The sequence below is a fragment of the Homo sapiens genome, chromosome 21, assembly GCF_000001405.40.
Source record: "Homo sapiens chromosome 21, GRCh38.p14 Primary Assembly".
Taxonomy (NCBI): Eukaryota; Metazoa; Chordata; class Mammalia; order Primates; family Hominidae; genus Homo; species Homo sapiens.
In genome coordinates, this window is record NC_000021.9 from 15009307 (window position 1) to 15024847 (window position 15541).

The 15541-nt window shown below is 34.7% G+C and overlaps 1 protein-coding gene across 21 annotated transcripts in view; it reads right to left on the reverse strand.

Moving 5' to 3' along the window:
• NRIP1 (nuclear receptor interacting protein 1) overlaps positions 1-15541 on the reverse strand; it is a 104702-nt gene that overhangs the window by 48072 nt on the left and 41089 nt on the right. For 9 of the 21 annotated variants that reach the window (NM_001439279.1, XM_047440992.1, NM_001439277.1 and 6 more), the window contains one exon: positions 5038-5160. The exons of 9 other annotated variants lie outside the window; for them this stretch is intronic. The gene's annotated coding sequence lies outside the window, so the exon portion shown is untranslated. Of the gene's footprint in view, positions 1-5037; positions 5161-5838; positions 5920-15541 lie in introns of all 21 variants that reach the window. 3 more of the 21 variants (XM_047440994.1, XM_011529751.3, XM_047440993.1) reach the window with 1 other exon arrangement.

The window sequence follows — 15541 nt, forward strand, 5'->3', positions numbered from 1 at the left end:
GTACAAATATTTATAAAGAAGCTGCTATGTTGTTAAGAGCTGAAGTTATAAGGATAACTAAGTGATAAACCAGCCCTTAGTGGGCTCACAATCTCATCGGGAAAAAACAGATCAACAACATAGTGAGATGCTACTAAAAAGATGGCATGGACAAAGTGGAGAAAGCACTGAAAGACACAATTTTTGGAAGAAGACTGAGTGGTAAGGCAGGGAACACCATTTTTAGTGAAGGTTCTCTACAGAGGCTGCATGTGAACTGACTCTAGGGACAAACAAGGCTTTCTCAATTAGAAAAGAAGCTTCAGTATTCTTCAGAAAGTAGGAGGACCATAAGCCCAGTCCAGGAAGCACAATGGCATAGAGTATGTTCTAGAAACTTTAAGTAATCACCTCCAAGAATAAAAATTGCCAGTAATGACAAACTTTTATAGAACATGACAAAATAATTTGATGGCATGTTCTATAAAAGTTATAATTAAATTTAATGATGAAAGATGTGGACTTAGATTTTGTAGTCTTGCTAAAAACTTCTGTCATATAGCTTTTTAAAAAGACAATAAAAGTGAGTTACTAAAAAAAATAAAATAGAAACAGACAAACAAATTATTGGCCTTTACTGCAGATATTTTGAGAAGCACTAGCTTGGAGGACAGGCTAGAAGATGGCAGGTGGGGAGGAGGTGCAGAGAGGGGCGGCAACAGCAGGAGACAAAGCTTCAAGCTAGAAGCTTACATAGACTGTACTATGAACATTTTTTTAAATAAATAAATGCAAAAAGGAAGCAAGCGAGGTTTGAAAATTACTCATATACCTCTAATCCAGAATGAAGAAATTCTAGTTATCTAAATAAAATGCATAAGCTCTGACGTTAGAATCAGAAAATTTTCAGATATGCAAACCACAGGCCACATGGTTGAAGGGCAAATGTAGCAGAGAATCAAGGAGACTATCAGGTTCACAACAGTTAATTTCAGTGAAAAAAGACCAGGGTCTGTGTAAGAAGAGAAAGTGTATTGACAGTTTGATCAACACTTTTAAAATTATTTTGATTCCTTCATTTGAAACCTTTCATGGAAAAGGAAAAAAAAAAAAACCTGAGTTGATATGGAGGCTTCGCATATAGCGACTTTATAAAATCTGAGTTGATATGGAGGCTTAGTCTAGTAGGGATCTTCCTCCCCAAACAACGTAAGTTATATCAATTAAGATACTAAGTAAAAGACTTAAGGAAAAGTCAATTATTTAAAGATACCAAATTAAAAAAATGTTAATTGTATTAATGTTTCCCATAGTAACAGTAAGTTAGGATTAAGGAAGGTCTATTACTTTTCTATGTTCATTATGCTATTGCAATTGCTACATTATTTTTGATCAGACAAGTAACACAAGCAAGCTGGAGTTTTAGGAAGATCTGGTGGTTGTAAAAGACTCGAACAAGGATGTCAGTAAACAGGCCTGCCAGCACAAGAGCTCCAGATGAGAAATGATAAGACTCTGAACGAAGATGGCTGGCTGTGAGAAAGGGAATTAAGAGTGGATGGAAGCAATGCTGGAAACTAACAATGATTCATTTGAGCCAAGCATACAGATTTTCTTACCAGGGTTATCCACAAGGCCAGGAAAACACTAGTGAGAAGGCCAAATTGGTTTACGGCAATTAATTCCAACTAGGACAACTCACCCAGATTATAAATTGATCTTTCTTTCACCAGCATCACGTTTCTACTAAAAATCTGGTGTGAAAGTTTAAACACATTTTACAAAGAGTTATTTCTTAAACAAATAAAAAAAAATATGACTTTGAGGAGTGTTTTATGAAGTTGGACAGGCATTCCATGTATACAATTAGCCTACTTTACCAACCTCGTAACCCAGCTCATCAGTACTGGCACTTTTTTTTTGAGATGGAGTCTTGCTCTGTCGCCCAGGCTGGAGTGCAGTGGCGCGATCTCAGCTCACTGCAAGCTCCACCTCCCGGGTTCACGCCATTCTCCTGCCTCAGCCTCCCGAGTAGCTGGGACTACAGGCGCCCGCCATGGCGCCCGGCTAATTTTTTGTATTTTTAGTACAGACAGGGTTTCACCGTGTCAGCCAGGATGGTCTCGATCTCCTGACCTCGTGATCCGCCCGCCTCGGCCTCTCAAAGTGCTGGGATTGCAAGCGTGAGCCACCACGCCCAGAGTACTGGCCCTTTTTTAAAAAAAAATTTATATAGATATTTTATGTCTGACAGGAAAGTTTTAAACTCAAGACATCTATTCTACCATAGTTGTCAAAAATTTAATCAAACTAGAAAAAAGTACAATAGAGAACTCGTCCTAGTGGAAAACCATGACATATAACAATAAAAATTCCATTAGAGAAAATTAGTATATTCAAGTGTTTAAGCTAAATTGATTTATGGTCATTTAGTTAACACTACCGAAAATATTCTCTGTTTTTGTATCAGCAATTTTATCAAAATTAGCTAATAAATATTATACACTGAGATAAACAGCACAGAAAGTATATAAAGTCCTATAAAATATAAAAAAGGGTGAATTAATTTTGTTAGTTACTCAATATGATGATTGTATCTCTTTCAAAAGAAGGAGCTAACAAAATAGCAAGGGAAACATGGCCTAAGACACTGAAAGGCTTTTTAAACACTTCATTCTTTATTTAGTTTGCAATATTCAATTAATTACATCCTTTTTCCTCCCAATCATTATCTTTGAGCTTTCAGTCAAAAAAAATTACTATACTTAAAAATATAACATGAGTGTTTTGCAGGGTAAGACAAACTATAGTAAAAACCTCATAAAACATTAGTTTAGAATCCTCAACTTGTCAAATACTCATCTCCTGAGATATACCAGATCCTCCTTTTGGAGACACAGTCCACTGGTTAATGAAAGGCATATTGAAAAGACATTCTATACTTTGACCCAACATCTCCCAAGCTTATTTGACCATGGACTGTTCATTTAAAAGGAAAACATATTTAACACAACACGTTTTAGAAAAAACACATTTGACATAATCATCTTTAAAATCTAAAAACGTTTAAAAATATGTGAAAGGAATATAGAAAATCACTATCAGTAATTTGTTTTTATAAATTTTTAGTTTTCAAAGTTGTTCACTATACATTATAATGTCTTTTTTTTTTTTTTTTTTTTTTTTTGAGACGGAGTCTTTCTCTGTCACCCAGGCTGGAGTGCAGTGGCACAATCTTGGCTCACTGCAACCCCGACTGCCGACTTAAGTGATTCTCCTGCCTCAGCCTCCCAAATAACTGGGACTACAGGCACGCGCTACCACACCTGGCTAATATTTGTATTTTTAGTAGAGACAGGGTTTCACCATACTGGTCAGGCTGGTCTTGAACTCCTGACCTCATGATCTGCCCACCTTGGCCTCCCAAAGTGCTGGGATTACAGGTGTGAGACACCATGCCTGGCTGTCTTTTTTTTTAATCTGGAAGAAAAATCTAAATTTGACAATTTTCTAAGAACAACTCATTGGCTGTGTATATTTACCAGATGGCTACCTATAATTTACTTATCCAACTCCTAGTTGGATCCAGTGAGCATTGCTTATCATTCTGGCTATGTGGTAAAACAAAGGTGTTGAAAATTAAGAACAACAACAAACCAATTATATCTTGTGGCGGGGCGGTCACAGGAATATGCATGATTATAATGTTAATTTTAATAGAATTAGAAGTTCAGAAATGGGGTTCAATATCAACTGTTTCATCAAATATAAAAGCAGATTTCAGACTGCCAACCAGTGATTAACACCTAATTATATCTGAATAAAAAAATTTTAGTATTTACAAATAATTGCGTCATTGATTTTAAATTCCAATTATAAGTAAAATATAAATGAATATACGAAAAGTGACTTGCAACCAAATAATTATTAGTAATTTTATGCAGTCTTTTAAAAAATAACATTTTAAAGATTTTCTTGATGAAATTACAAGAAAAGCTAAGCATTTAAGTGGGTGATTAAAATAACTTCATTACTAGGTTTTCTGAACATTATCAGAATAGTGAAGAAAAAGCAGTTAGGATTATCCATATGAGGCCTACAGGTAAAGAGCAAATTTGGCTCAAAGTTGCCATTCCCTTTTTGAAACACTGTGGTCAGGTAAAACATGGTGAATTTCAGCATGCTGTATCTGCTCTCTCTCTTTGACCAGAGTTTTTCAGTTAGCTAGATGAAACTGAACTATTCACAACGGATTATGAGCACAATAATCAATCATTATGCCTTTACCTAGTTCACTTGGATTTCTCCTTCCCAGAAATAAGCAGCATAAGGTCCAAGAGCTTAAGACATGACAAATTCATTTAGGTTGTAGCTATACTAGAAAACAGGAGTGTTAATCCAAGTAGAATTAACCACTTGCTCATCGTCTTTTTTGTTGCTCTGCCCACCTACTTGTGTTAATTTAATCCAATTACTTTATCATTTCTCAGAAATACTAATAATGCTCTTTCCTTTGTAAGAGGAATTTTAATAATTCCAAAAGTAATCACTGGCCTATACTATAATAAACACACAATAATCAAACATGCTTCTATTTTTCCTCAAAACGGTAATTAACTTTTTATCTGAAATCAGGGATTGCTATTGTAGGATTTGTATTAACTGTCCATTTTCTCTGGTTTTTGATAAATCGAATTAAGTGTTGTCAACAAAAATACTATTTCTTCTTTCAAGCTTTCCAATTCCTCTCTCCAGAAGTAATCTACACACTGAATTCTCAAGAATATTTTTCTCCATTTCTCTTACAGCATTTAACCTCTTTTACTGTTTGATTACATTATTTATCTACATTTATTCTTTCCATATAAGTTCCTTAAAGGAAGGATTGTAGCTCTTTCATTTTTTAAACCACATTGCCTGATGAAGTAACTTGCACAGATGAAGTACATAATACATATTTTGAATTATAAGCTAATTTATAACTGAGAAAGAATTGTCTGAAATATATTAAAGTCATAATGATTAAGCCTTAAGAACTCAGGAAAAAAATATTCTCACCGTCTGTCTCCAAGCTCTGAGCCTCTGCTTTCTGAGAAAGAAAATTGAGAAGGCTGTTGAAAAGTAGCTCTGATGTCATCCGGAGTCTTCAGATTCCCTGTCCTCCTTCAGTCAAGTGTGCATCTTAACAAGAGGGAAAAGATAGTTTGGCATCTATTCCAAACCAGATTCTGGAATACCTTTTGATCAAGTTCAACTTATCCCATTACCTTTTCTTGTTCAAGTTCAATGCAAAAGTAGTCATTTGACAGAAAAATATCAATTGTTTATGAATGCTGGTTCATTAACAGAAAGCAATAGATCTCTGCTTTCTAGGTAATAATCGATAAAAGTAGCTGCTTCAACAAAATAAGCTGTGAAAAAGGTTTATAGTTGCTAGGATGTGTTTATTAACCTTTGTTAATTTCAAATTTCTTAGCGTGCTGTGCTAAATTAATTAATTTACATACAAAAAATTATAAATCCTCCTAAACGTGTATTTCTTAAAAAAAAAAAAAAGAATAGCTATAGTTTTCTTATATGGAACTTTTTCAGTTTCAAAATACCAAGTATGTAATCTTTGCAGCAAAAAAATTGGTAATAAATATCAAATGCCCTATATATCCATGAAAAGATTTACACAACAATGCCCAAAGTAGATTTATTTTTAATAGTCAAAAACTGGAAACAACTGAAATGCCCATCAATAGGTGAATGAATCATATGGTATATCCATACAATATAATTTTACTACTCAGTATCAAAACAGAATACACACAACACATACGGAAAATAAATATGGATGAATCTCAAAATAATTACCCTGAGTGCAAGAAGCCAGACAAAAAGAAACATATTTTGTGTGATTCCATTTGGATAACATTCCAGAAAACGCAAATTCATCTATTGTGAAAGAAAATAGATCAGTGAGGTTGCCTGGGGATGAAGGATGCCCAAGGGAGGGATTACAAAGAAATATCATCTTAATGGTGATGATGGTTTCACAGGTGTACACACATGTCAAAACTTGTCAGATTGTTCCTTAAATATGTGCAGTTTATTCATCAATTATACCTCGATAAAACTGTAACAAAAATTAAATGCCTTAACATGTTATATGTCCGTTGATGCAGCAATTCCATGTCTAAGATTTATCCTAATTAAAAAAATCATGGAGGATAGGTGTAAATATTTAGCCATAAGGATGTTCAAAATACATATTATTATATTTGTGCAGTACATTGTATACAGCCATAAAACGTCAAAATGAAAAAATTAGAAATAGTTAAATAAACTACAGTATATTACATCATGGAATATTATGTAGTCATTAAAATATTATACAAGAAAATTAAATTATATGAAATTATATACTATATAAGTGATAAAAACAGGAAACAACATTATTTCAGCATAATTGAATTTTTGTTTTAAACAAAAGTAAATGCAGTAATTATTTCTGCATTTAGAGGTAATTGTTATTTTTTCTTTTTGCTGATTTGCATTTTCTAATTTCTCTACAGTAAATACATACATATTATTTTTCTAACAAACACCACAAATAAAATGATGCAAATAGGAAAAAATCTAAAATTTTCCACTCCCTAATACAAGTATAAAACTCCTAAGAGGCAGTGCACAATACAGATGTAGTTCTGAGCTATCACACGGCCACCAGCAGCACCCTACTAAATAGCTGTGGGAAAGAGACAGGTCTGACACATAAATGGGAGCATCATTAAGTGAGTAATGCTTTACCAGTTACAAAATGCTATCATGGACATGACTGTATTTGATTTTCACAACTCGGTGAAATGAGCAGAGATTCCATTTCATAGAGGAGCAACAGATACTGAGCAGGGCTGGTTAAGTCATATGCCCCAAATTATAGATCTTGGACTCAATTAAATCTTGACTATAAATTCAGATAGGAATTCTAAGAAGAGTAGGAAACAATCACTTGCCCTGATTATATATACCTAGAAGGATGTGATTCACACATCAACTTAACAATAACCATATGTGTAATTACATGAGTACTCCTATTAGAATGTGGTAGGGACCTCGGGAATTTCTGAAGTCTCCAATCCCCAGTCTCTGAAGTAATACTCAAGGCACGCCCATCTTCCCGTTATCAACATTATCTACCAACTCACTGAAATTCCAGTAGAATTTAACTGTTCAGTTTTCAATTACCTTTTTTCCTTCTTGAAAAAAGATTATAACCTTTTATTTTAAAGTTGGAACAAGAAAGTACCCATAACTATATTTGAGAATGCTGGCCGGGCGCAGTGGCTCACACCTGTAATCCCAGCACTTTGGGAAGCCGAAATGGGCAGATCATGAGGTCTGGAGATCGAGACCATCCTGGCTAACAAGGTAAAACCCCATTTCTACTAAAAATATAAAAAAATTAGCTGGGTGTGGTGGTGGGCACCTGTAGTCCCAGCTACTCGGGAGGCTGAGGCAGGAGAATGGTGTGAACCTGGGAGGCAGAGCTTGCAGTGAGCCAAGATCGCGCCACTGCACTCCAGCCTGGGCGACAGAGCGAGACTCCGTCAAAGAAAGAAAGAAGGAAAGAAGGAAGGAAAGAAAGAGAGAGAGAGAGAAAGAAAGAAAGAAAAGAAGAAAGACAAGAAAGAAAGAAAGAAAAGAGAAAGAAAGAAAAGAAAGAAAAAGAAAAGAATGAAGGAAGGAAGGAAGGAAGGAAAGAGAATGCTGCAACTAGTAATCTATAAATTGATTACTGGAACTTTAAAATGTGAACTTGTGGGCTAAATCTTTTTTTGGTCTGTGTATATAGATAAGAAACCCTACAAACTGGCATATTCTATAAAGAAAACCACCAACTCCTGAGAAGGGTAAAAGGAAATATCTCTAGAGGAACATTACTATTATCATTATTATTTTTATTTTTAGAGACGAGGATCTCGCTATGTTGCTCAGGCTGGTCTCAAACTCCTGGGTTCAAATGATCCTCCCGACTCAACCTCCCAAGTAGCTGGAACTGCAGGTGTGCACCACGGTGCCCAACTTAGAGGAACATTATTAATGAACTGGTCATTATCTGTTGATGACACCATGAGGAATCCTTACAGCTACTACTCTTACCAACACTCCTAGAACTAAGAGACTTAACAGGTAATGATAACTATAGTTTAATGAGCAATTACTATGTCTCAAACATAACAATAAGCCTTTTACAGATATAATCTTAAAAAAACCCTGTAAGGTGATTATTATTATCCCCAGTTTGTAGATGAGGAAACTGGGTTTAAGTTACCCCAAATCACAAAGTCAATAAGAGACTGAGGTGGAATTCAAATCCCAGTATTTTGGAAAAAGACAGGGCCTTGACAGTTCTCTGGAAAATAAATTCTGATTTTTCCCTACTACTGTTCATCTACAATGGTCTCAATTCAGGTAATGCAAAATACTTGGTACTAGCATATGAACTTAATGAGCCTACATTTTCCATGTAAAAAGTTAAAAGTATTCCGAGCCCACAATGTGTATTTGATATTTTGTCACATTCTAGAATTGTTTATGTTAATGGTTGGTCTCTACTAAGACACTCTCCTTCTGAGACAAATATATGACCACACAAAAGATAAATTAAAAGAATATTTAAATAAAACCAACAAAAGATAACACAAAATAAACTACTCTAACATTAATACTTAAAGTTTTCCTATATTAATAAGTGAGTAAATTAGCCTTCAGTTCAAGTCAGTGAAACTGAATATGCCAGATGTGTTCTGAATCATGACAAAAGAAGCATGTCTAATGAATAAGAAAATTTTAAATAACTTCATCATAATTATATTATGAAATATTATACAATCTTTAAAATGGATGTTTTCAAAGATCCATTTATTTAATAATGTGGTAAAATTATCACAATACAATGCTAAGAAAGCAAGATACTATTCATCTGAGTTGAACAAATTGCTAAACAAATTAGAAGGCTAGACACTATGCTAGGTGTTGGAATTACAACATGAATAAGACGAACACAGTTCCCATGGGAAAGAGACAGGAAAGAAGCAAACAGAAAATAAAATAATTGAAGATTTCAAACAAAGCAAGAGGTAGAGAGGAAGCTATTTTACATAAAGTGATAAGGAAAAGCAAAAGCTTCTCTGAGAAAATGACATTTAAGCTGAGAAGGCCCTAGTCATACAAAGAATAAAGTGAAGAGAATTTCCAATAAAAGAAATAGTGTATGCAAAGGACGTGCCTGCTTAAGGAACTGAGAGATGACCAAAGTAGGTAGTAATGAGCAAGGAAAAAAATGGTAACAAATTAGGTCAGAGATGTGAGCATAAAGGATGATCTCAAATTTGTTTTTTAATGTGTTACCCCACACACATATACACACACCATACTGAAGGGACGGAGAACACAATGATAACAGTGATATTCTAGATGGTAGGAAAAGGAGTTGGGGTTATTTTCCCTTAATATTTCCACATGCTCCAAAATAGGCTGCATAAACATTACAATGAGAAAAAATATGGCTAGAACTTCCAGTCTAGTGTTGAAAAGAAGTGGTGAGCGCAAACATTCATGCTTTGTCCCCATTTTACGGAGAAAAAATTCCACCTTCCACTATTAATTATTATACAGCTGTAGTATATAATACAGCTGCTATTCCCTCTTCCCTATGTGTAGTTTGTGAGTTTTGTTTGCTTTTATCACTGATGTGTTGGATTTTGTCAAATGATTTTTCCTGTATCTATCGAGATAATCATGTGAGTTTTTACTCTTTTATGTGGGTTTTTAGTCTTTTAGTCTATTAATAATATATTATTATATTTATAATATATATAATTACTATATTAATTGTTTCAGTGTTAAAACAATCTTTCCTTTCTAAGATAATTGCCTACAACTAATATCATACTAATGGTGAAAGACTGAATGCTTTCCCCACCTAAGATCTGAAGAAGACAAGGATATCTGATGTCTACTCAGTGCAACAAATATAAAGATAGATAGACTGAAAAAGAAGTCAAAATTATCCTTATATGCAGGTAACATGATCTTGCTTGCCAATAACTCTAAGGACTCTACAAGAAACCCAAAATAATTAATAAAAAAAAGTTCAGAAAGGTTTATGACAAGATCCACAAACAACTGCATTTCTTTTTTTTTTTTTTTTTTTTTTTTTTTTTTTTTTTTGAGACACAGTCTCACTCTGTCGCCCAAGCTGGAGTGCAATGATGCAGTCTTGGCTCACTGCAACCTCTGCCTCCCAGGTTCAAGCAACTCTCCTGCCTCAGCCTCCCAAGTAGCTGGGATTACAGGCATGCACCACCATGCCTGGCTAATTTTGTATTTTTAGTAGAGACGGGATTTCACTATGTTGGTCAGGCTGGTCTTGAACTCCTGACCTCAGGTGATCCACCCACCTAGACCTTCCAAAGTGCTGGGATGACAGGCATAAGCCACCACACCTGGCCATTAAATTTATTCTTAAGCTTTATTCTTTTTGTTACTCTTGTGGCTGAATGGAATTTATTTTTGGATGGTTTGTTGCCAGTATATAAGAAACGCAGCCAGGCACGGTGGCTCACGCCTGCAATTCCAGCACTTTGGGAAGCAGAGGCAGGAGTAAAACATGTGCACTCAAAACTACAAAACACTGTTGAGGGAAATTAAAGAAGACTTGTTTATTGGAACAAAGATTCAGTTGATTGAAAGATCCAATATTACTAAGACGTCAATTCTCCCTACACTGATCTACCTAAATGCCATCGTAATCTTTTTCTAGAAATTGGTCCTAAAATATATATGAAAGTATAAAATACCAAGAATAGTGAAACAACTCTGAAAAAGTATGAAGCTGCAGGACTTAAACTTATCTAATCTCAAAACATACTATAAATCTATATGGTAACCAACAGTGTTGGTCCTGCTATAAAGATACACATATAGACAATGGAACAGAATAGAGTCCAGAATAAACTCCCATTCATAGTCATTTGATTTTCGACAAATATGCCACTGCAATTAAAATAATAGTCTTTTTAATACATGGTGCGGTACAGTTAGATATCCATATGTGAAAATAAATAATTAAGTGTAAACCTGTATCTCTCAACATACAAAAATAACTAAAAATGGATTATAGTCTGAATTGTAAAAATTAAAACACAACTTCTAGAAGAAGGAATAGGATAAACTCTTATGACCTTAAGTTACAGAAATATTCCTTAAATAAGAAAACAAAAGCACAATCCATTTAAAAAAATTAAAAATGGAATGTCATCAAATTGAAAGATAATCCACAGAATGGAAGAAAATATATGCAAATCATATAACTGATGAAGATATACTATACAGCATATATTAAAACCCTTTGAAGTCAGCAATAAGATAAACTAACCAAATTGTTTTTAATGGACTAAAGATTTAAAGGTACTTCACCAAAGAAGACATGTGAATGTTTGGTAAACACATAAAAAGATGCTCATTGTCATCCACTAAAGACATGAAATACTAGTAAAATCACAATGAGATCACATTACACACTCACTAGAATAGCTATATTAAAAAAAAAAAAGACTGAAAAAACTCAAAGGTTGGGGAGGACAGGAAGAAACTGAAACTCTCCTCCATTGCTGGTGAGAATGTAAAAATGGCATAACCACTTGAAAAACAGTTTGGTGGTTTTTCAAAAAGTTAAACATACATGAATGTATAACCTTGCAATGACCCACTAATTGTACACTGGAGTACCTAAGAGAAATGAAAAATATATGTCCACAAAAAATCTGTCTACAAATGGTGATATCAGCATCAATCATAATAACCAAAAACTGTAAACAAAACAAATGCCCATCAACTATTAAAGGCAAGCATAAAGTGTAACCAACAAAAAAAGGGAATGAACTAATGATTCACGTCACCAAGGATGAACCTCAGAAACTTAATGCTTAGTGAAAGAAGCTAAATACGAAAGATATCTATATTGTATGATTCCAAAAAGATATCTATATTGTATGATTCCATTTATATATGAAATGTCTTAAAAAGCTGAACTGTATGTAGAGAAAGCAGATCACCTCCTGGGGCAGGAGAGGAGAACAGAGATTGGAAATGGGCATGAAAGACTCTGTGAAGACATGAAAATGTCCTAACGCCGGACTGTGGTGATGGCTGCAACATCTGAGTGCATTGACTCAAAACCTTCCAACTGAACACTTGCAGTGGATGAATTGCTGGATACATGTAAATTATACCTAAATAAAGCCATGAAAAACAAAAATAAAAATGATATATTACATACAAAATCATAAATTTATTTAAAATGAGTCCGATGTGCTGACAAAGGTCTCATATCCAGAGTTTACAAAGAGTTTAAATAAATTTACAAGAAAAAAAACATTAAAAGGTGAACAAAGACATGAACAGACAGTTCTAAAAAGAAGACATTCGTGCGGCCAGCAAATATAGATATAAAAGCTCAACATCACTGATCATTAGAGAAATGCAAATCAAAACCATAATGAGATAACCATCTCATGCCTGTCAGAATGGTGATTATTAAAGAGTCAGAAAACAACAGATGCTGGCAAGGTTGTGGAGAAAAAAGAATACTTTACATTGCTGGTGGGAGTGTAAATTAGTTCAACCATTGTGGAAGACAGCGTGGCAAGTCCTCAAAGACCTAGAGGCAGAAATAACATTTGACCCAGCAATCCCATTACTGGGTATACACCTGAAGGATTATAAATCACTCTATCATAAAGACACATGCACATGTATGTTCACTGCAGCACTATTCACAACAGCCACGACATGAAATCAACCCAAATGCCCATCAGTGATAGACTGGATAAAGAAAATGTGGTACATATATACCATGGAATACTATGCAGCCATAAAAAGGAATGAGATCATGTCCTTTGCAGGGACATGGATAGAAGCCATTATCCTCAGCAAACTAACGCGGAACAGAAAACCAAGCACTGTATGTTGTCACTTAAAAGTGGGAGCTGAATGATGAGAATACATGGACACATTTCTGGGGAACAATACACACTGGGCCTGTTGGGTGGGAGGTGTGGGGGGAGGGAGAGCATCAGGAAGAATAGCTAATTGATGCTGGGCTTAGTATCTAAGTGATGGGTTGATCTATGCAGTAAACCACATGGCATATGTTTACCTATGTAAAAAACTTGCGCATCCTGCACATGTACCCCAGAACTTAAAATAAAAGTTGAAGAAAAAAATGAGTCTGATGTAAAATACACTGCCACTTCTCTCATTATTTTAAATAACAATCATACTTTAAGATAAACCTAATGTATTACAATTACTCTTTGGAGAATGCAAAAGTAGAATTAAGATGACTATCCACCTTCTTCATACACTACTGGTGGGAATGTAAAATGCAGTGTAGCCACTAAGGGGAACAGACAGTTCCTTAAAAAGCAACATCAAGTTACGACGTGACCCAGGAATTCCATTCCTGTGTATATACAGAAGGGAAATAAAAACCTGATGTCCATCCACTGATAAGTAGATAAAATGTGATAAATCCATACAGTGAAGTATTATTTAGTCACAAAAAGGAATGAAGTGCTGACACATGCTACAACATAGTCAAACTTTATTACGCTCAGTGAAAGAAGCCAATCACTAAAAATCACGTGATCCCATTTCTATGGAATGTACAGAATAGGCAAATTAATCTAGACAGAAGGATCGGTGGTTGTCTAGGGCTGGGGTGGGAAGGGATGGAAATGGAGAGTGACAGCTAACAGGTGTGGAGCTCCTTTTAAGATCATGAAACTGTTAAAAAAAGACTGTGGTGTTGGTTACACACCTATGTGAACATAAAAACTACGGAACTGAACACTTTAAACAGGTGAATTTATAGTATGTAAATTATATCTCAGTAAAGCTATAAAAATGACTATTCACCTAATACTTATTAAAACATCAAAAGTAATTTCAGGGTAAAAACCTAGATCTCTAATCTTACTTGTGTGCTTTTGAAGTTATGTCACATTTATCAGAACAGTTTGTTAATATTCAATTAATTCTGGCTAAATATTAGAATACTTTTTTTAAATAAAATCAACTGTATTTTTGTACACCAGTAACAAACAGAAAACAACATTTAAAAAATATCCAACAGCAAAGCATACCTAGGAAGAAAAGTAACTTGTAAATACTGCATGCTCAATATAAATAAAATATATTGGAAGGCATTAACAACGAAACCTAAATAATCCAAATAAATGGAATGACACACCATGTTTATTATATAAATACTCAGTATCGTAAAATGACAATTCTTCCCAAATTAAACAAATGCCTTTAATGCAATGCCTATCAAAATGTAAAAGGTTTAATAAGTTGATTCTAAAATTTGCATGGAGCAGCAAAAGCCCATGAAAGAGAAAAAATCCTACCACCAAAAGAAAATAGTAGGAAACTTGCCTTGCCAGATACCAAAATGTATCATAAAGTTCTAATAATTAAGCTAGTGCGCTCCTGGAAAGGAGAAAAACAAATTGATTGCTGGAGAAGTAGATCATCACACAGAGAAAATATTTGACAAAAGTTACACTTTAGATCTCCAGAGAACGGAGACATCATTCAATAGTGTTGAAACAACTGGTTACCCATCGTGGAGGCAAAAGTGGATTCCTGATGTCTAACATATAAACAATAAATTCCAGAGGGATTAAAGGTTTAAATAGAGAAGGCATGTCTTTAATATTTTTAAAACAAAATATAAGAGGATATCTTTATGATCTCATAGTAGGAAACGTTTCCTTAAGACACAGAAAGGTTAACTATATGCAAAGCGTTAAGATTAATAAATTCAAATGCATTAAAATTGAAAACTTCATTCATCAAAAATACAACAGAAGATGAAAAATGAACAACACCATAAAATACACTGCCAAAAACATTGGGGGTTGGTGTGATGGCTCACGCCTATAATCCCAGCACTTTGGGAGGCTAAGGTGGGTGGATCATTTGAGGTCAGGAGTTCGAGACCAGCCTGGCCAACATGGTGAAACCCCGTCTCTACTAAAATACAAAAATTAGCTGGGTGTGGTGGCAGTCACCTGTAATCCCAGCTACTAGGGAGGCTGAAGCAGGAGAATTGCTTGAACCCAGGAGGCGGAGGTTGCAGTGAGCTGAGAACGCATCACTGCACTCCAGCCTGGGCGACACTCTGTCTCATATACACACACACACAAAACTTTGGTATCCAGAGTGTGTGTGTGTGTGTGTGTGTGTGTGTGTCTGTGTGTGTGTGTCCTATAACATTTTAATTAAAAATGGGCAAAATAGAGAGGGGGTAGCCCTAATAAGAGGAGTCAGAGAGCTCAAGCAGGATGAGGTTGGTGTCACTGTGGAGTGGAAGAAATGATGTGGTATGGGGAATTCGAGCCCAAGCTCTAGATCTGTATTGTTCTTGTTATTGTATGTGTTATTTTAAAATTTTAAAAAATTTAAGACATAAAAGTATTTAATGTAAAGTTTTAAGTATATA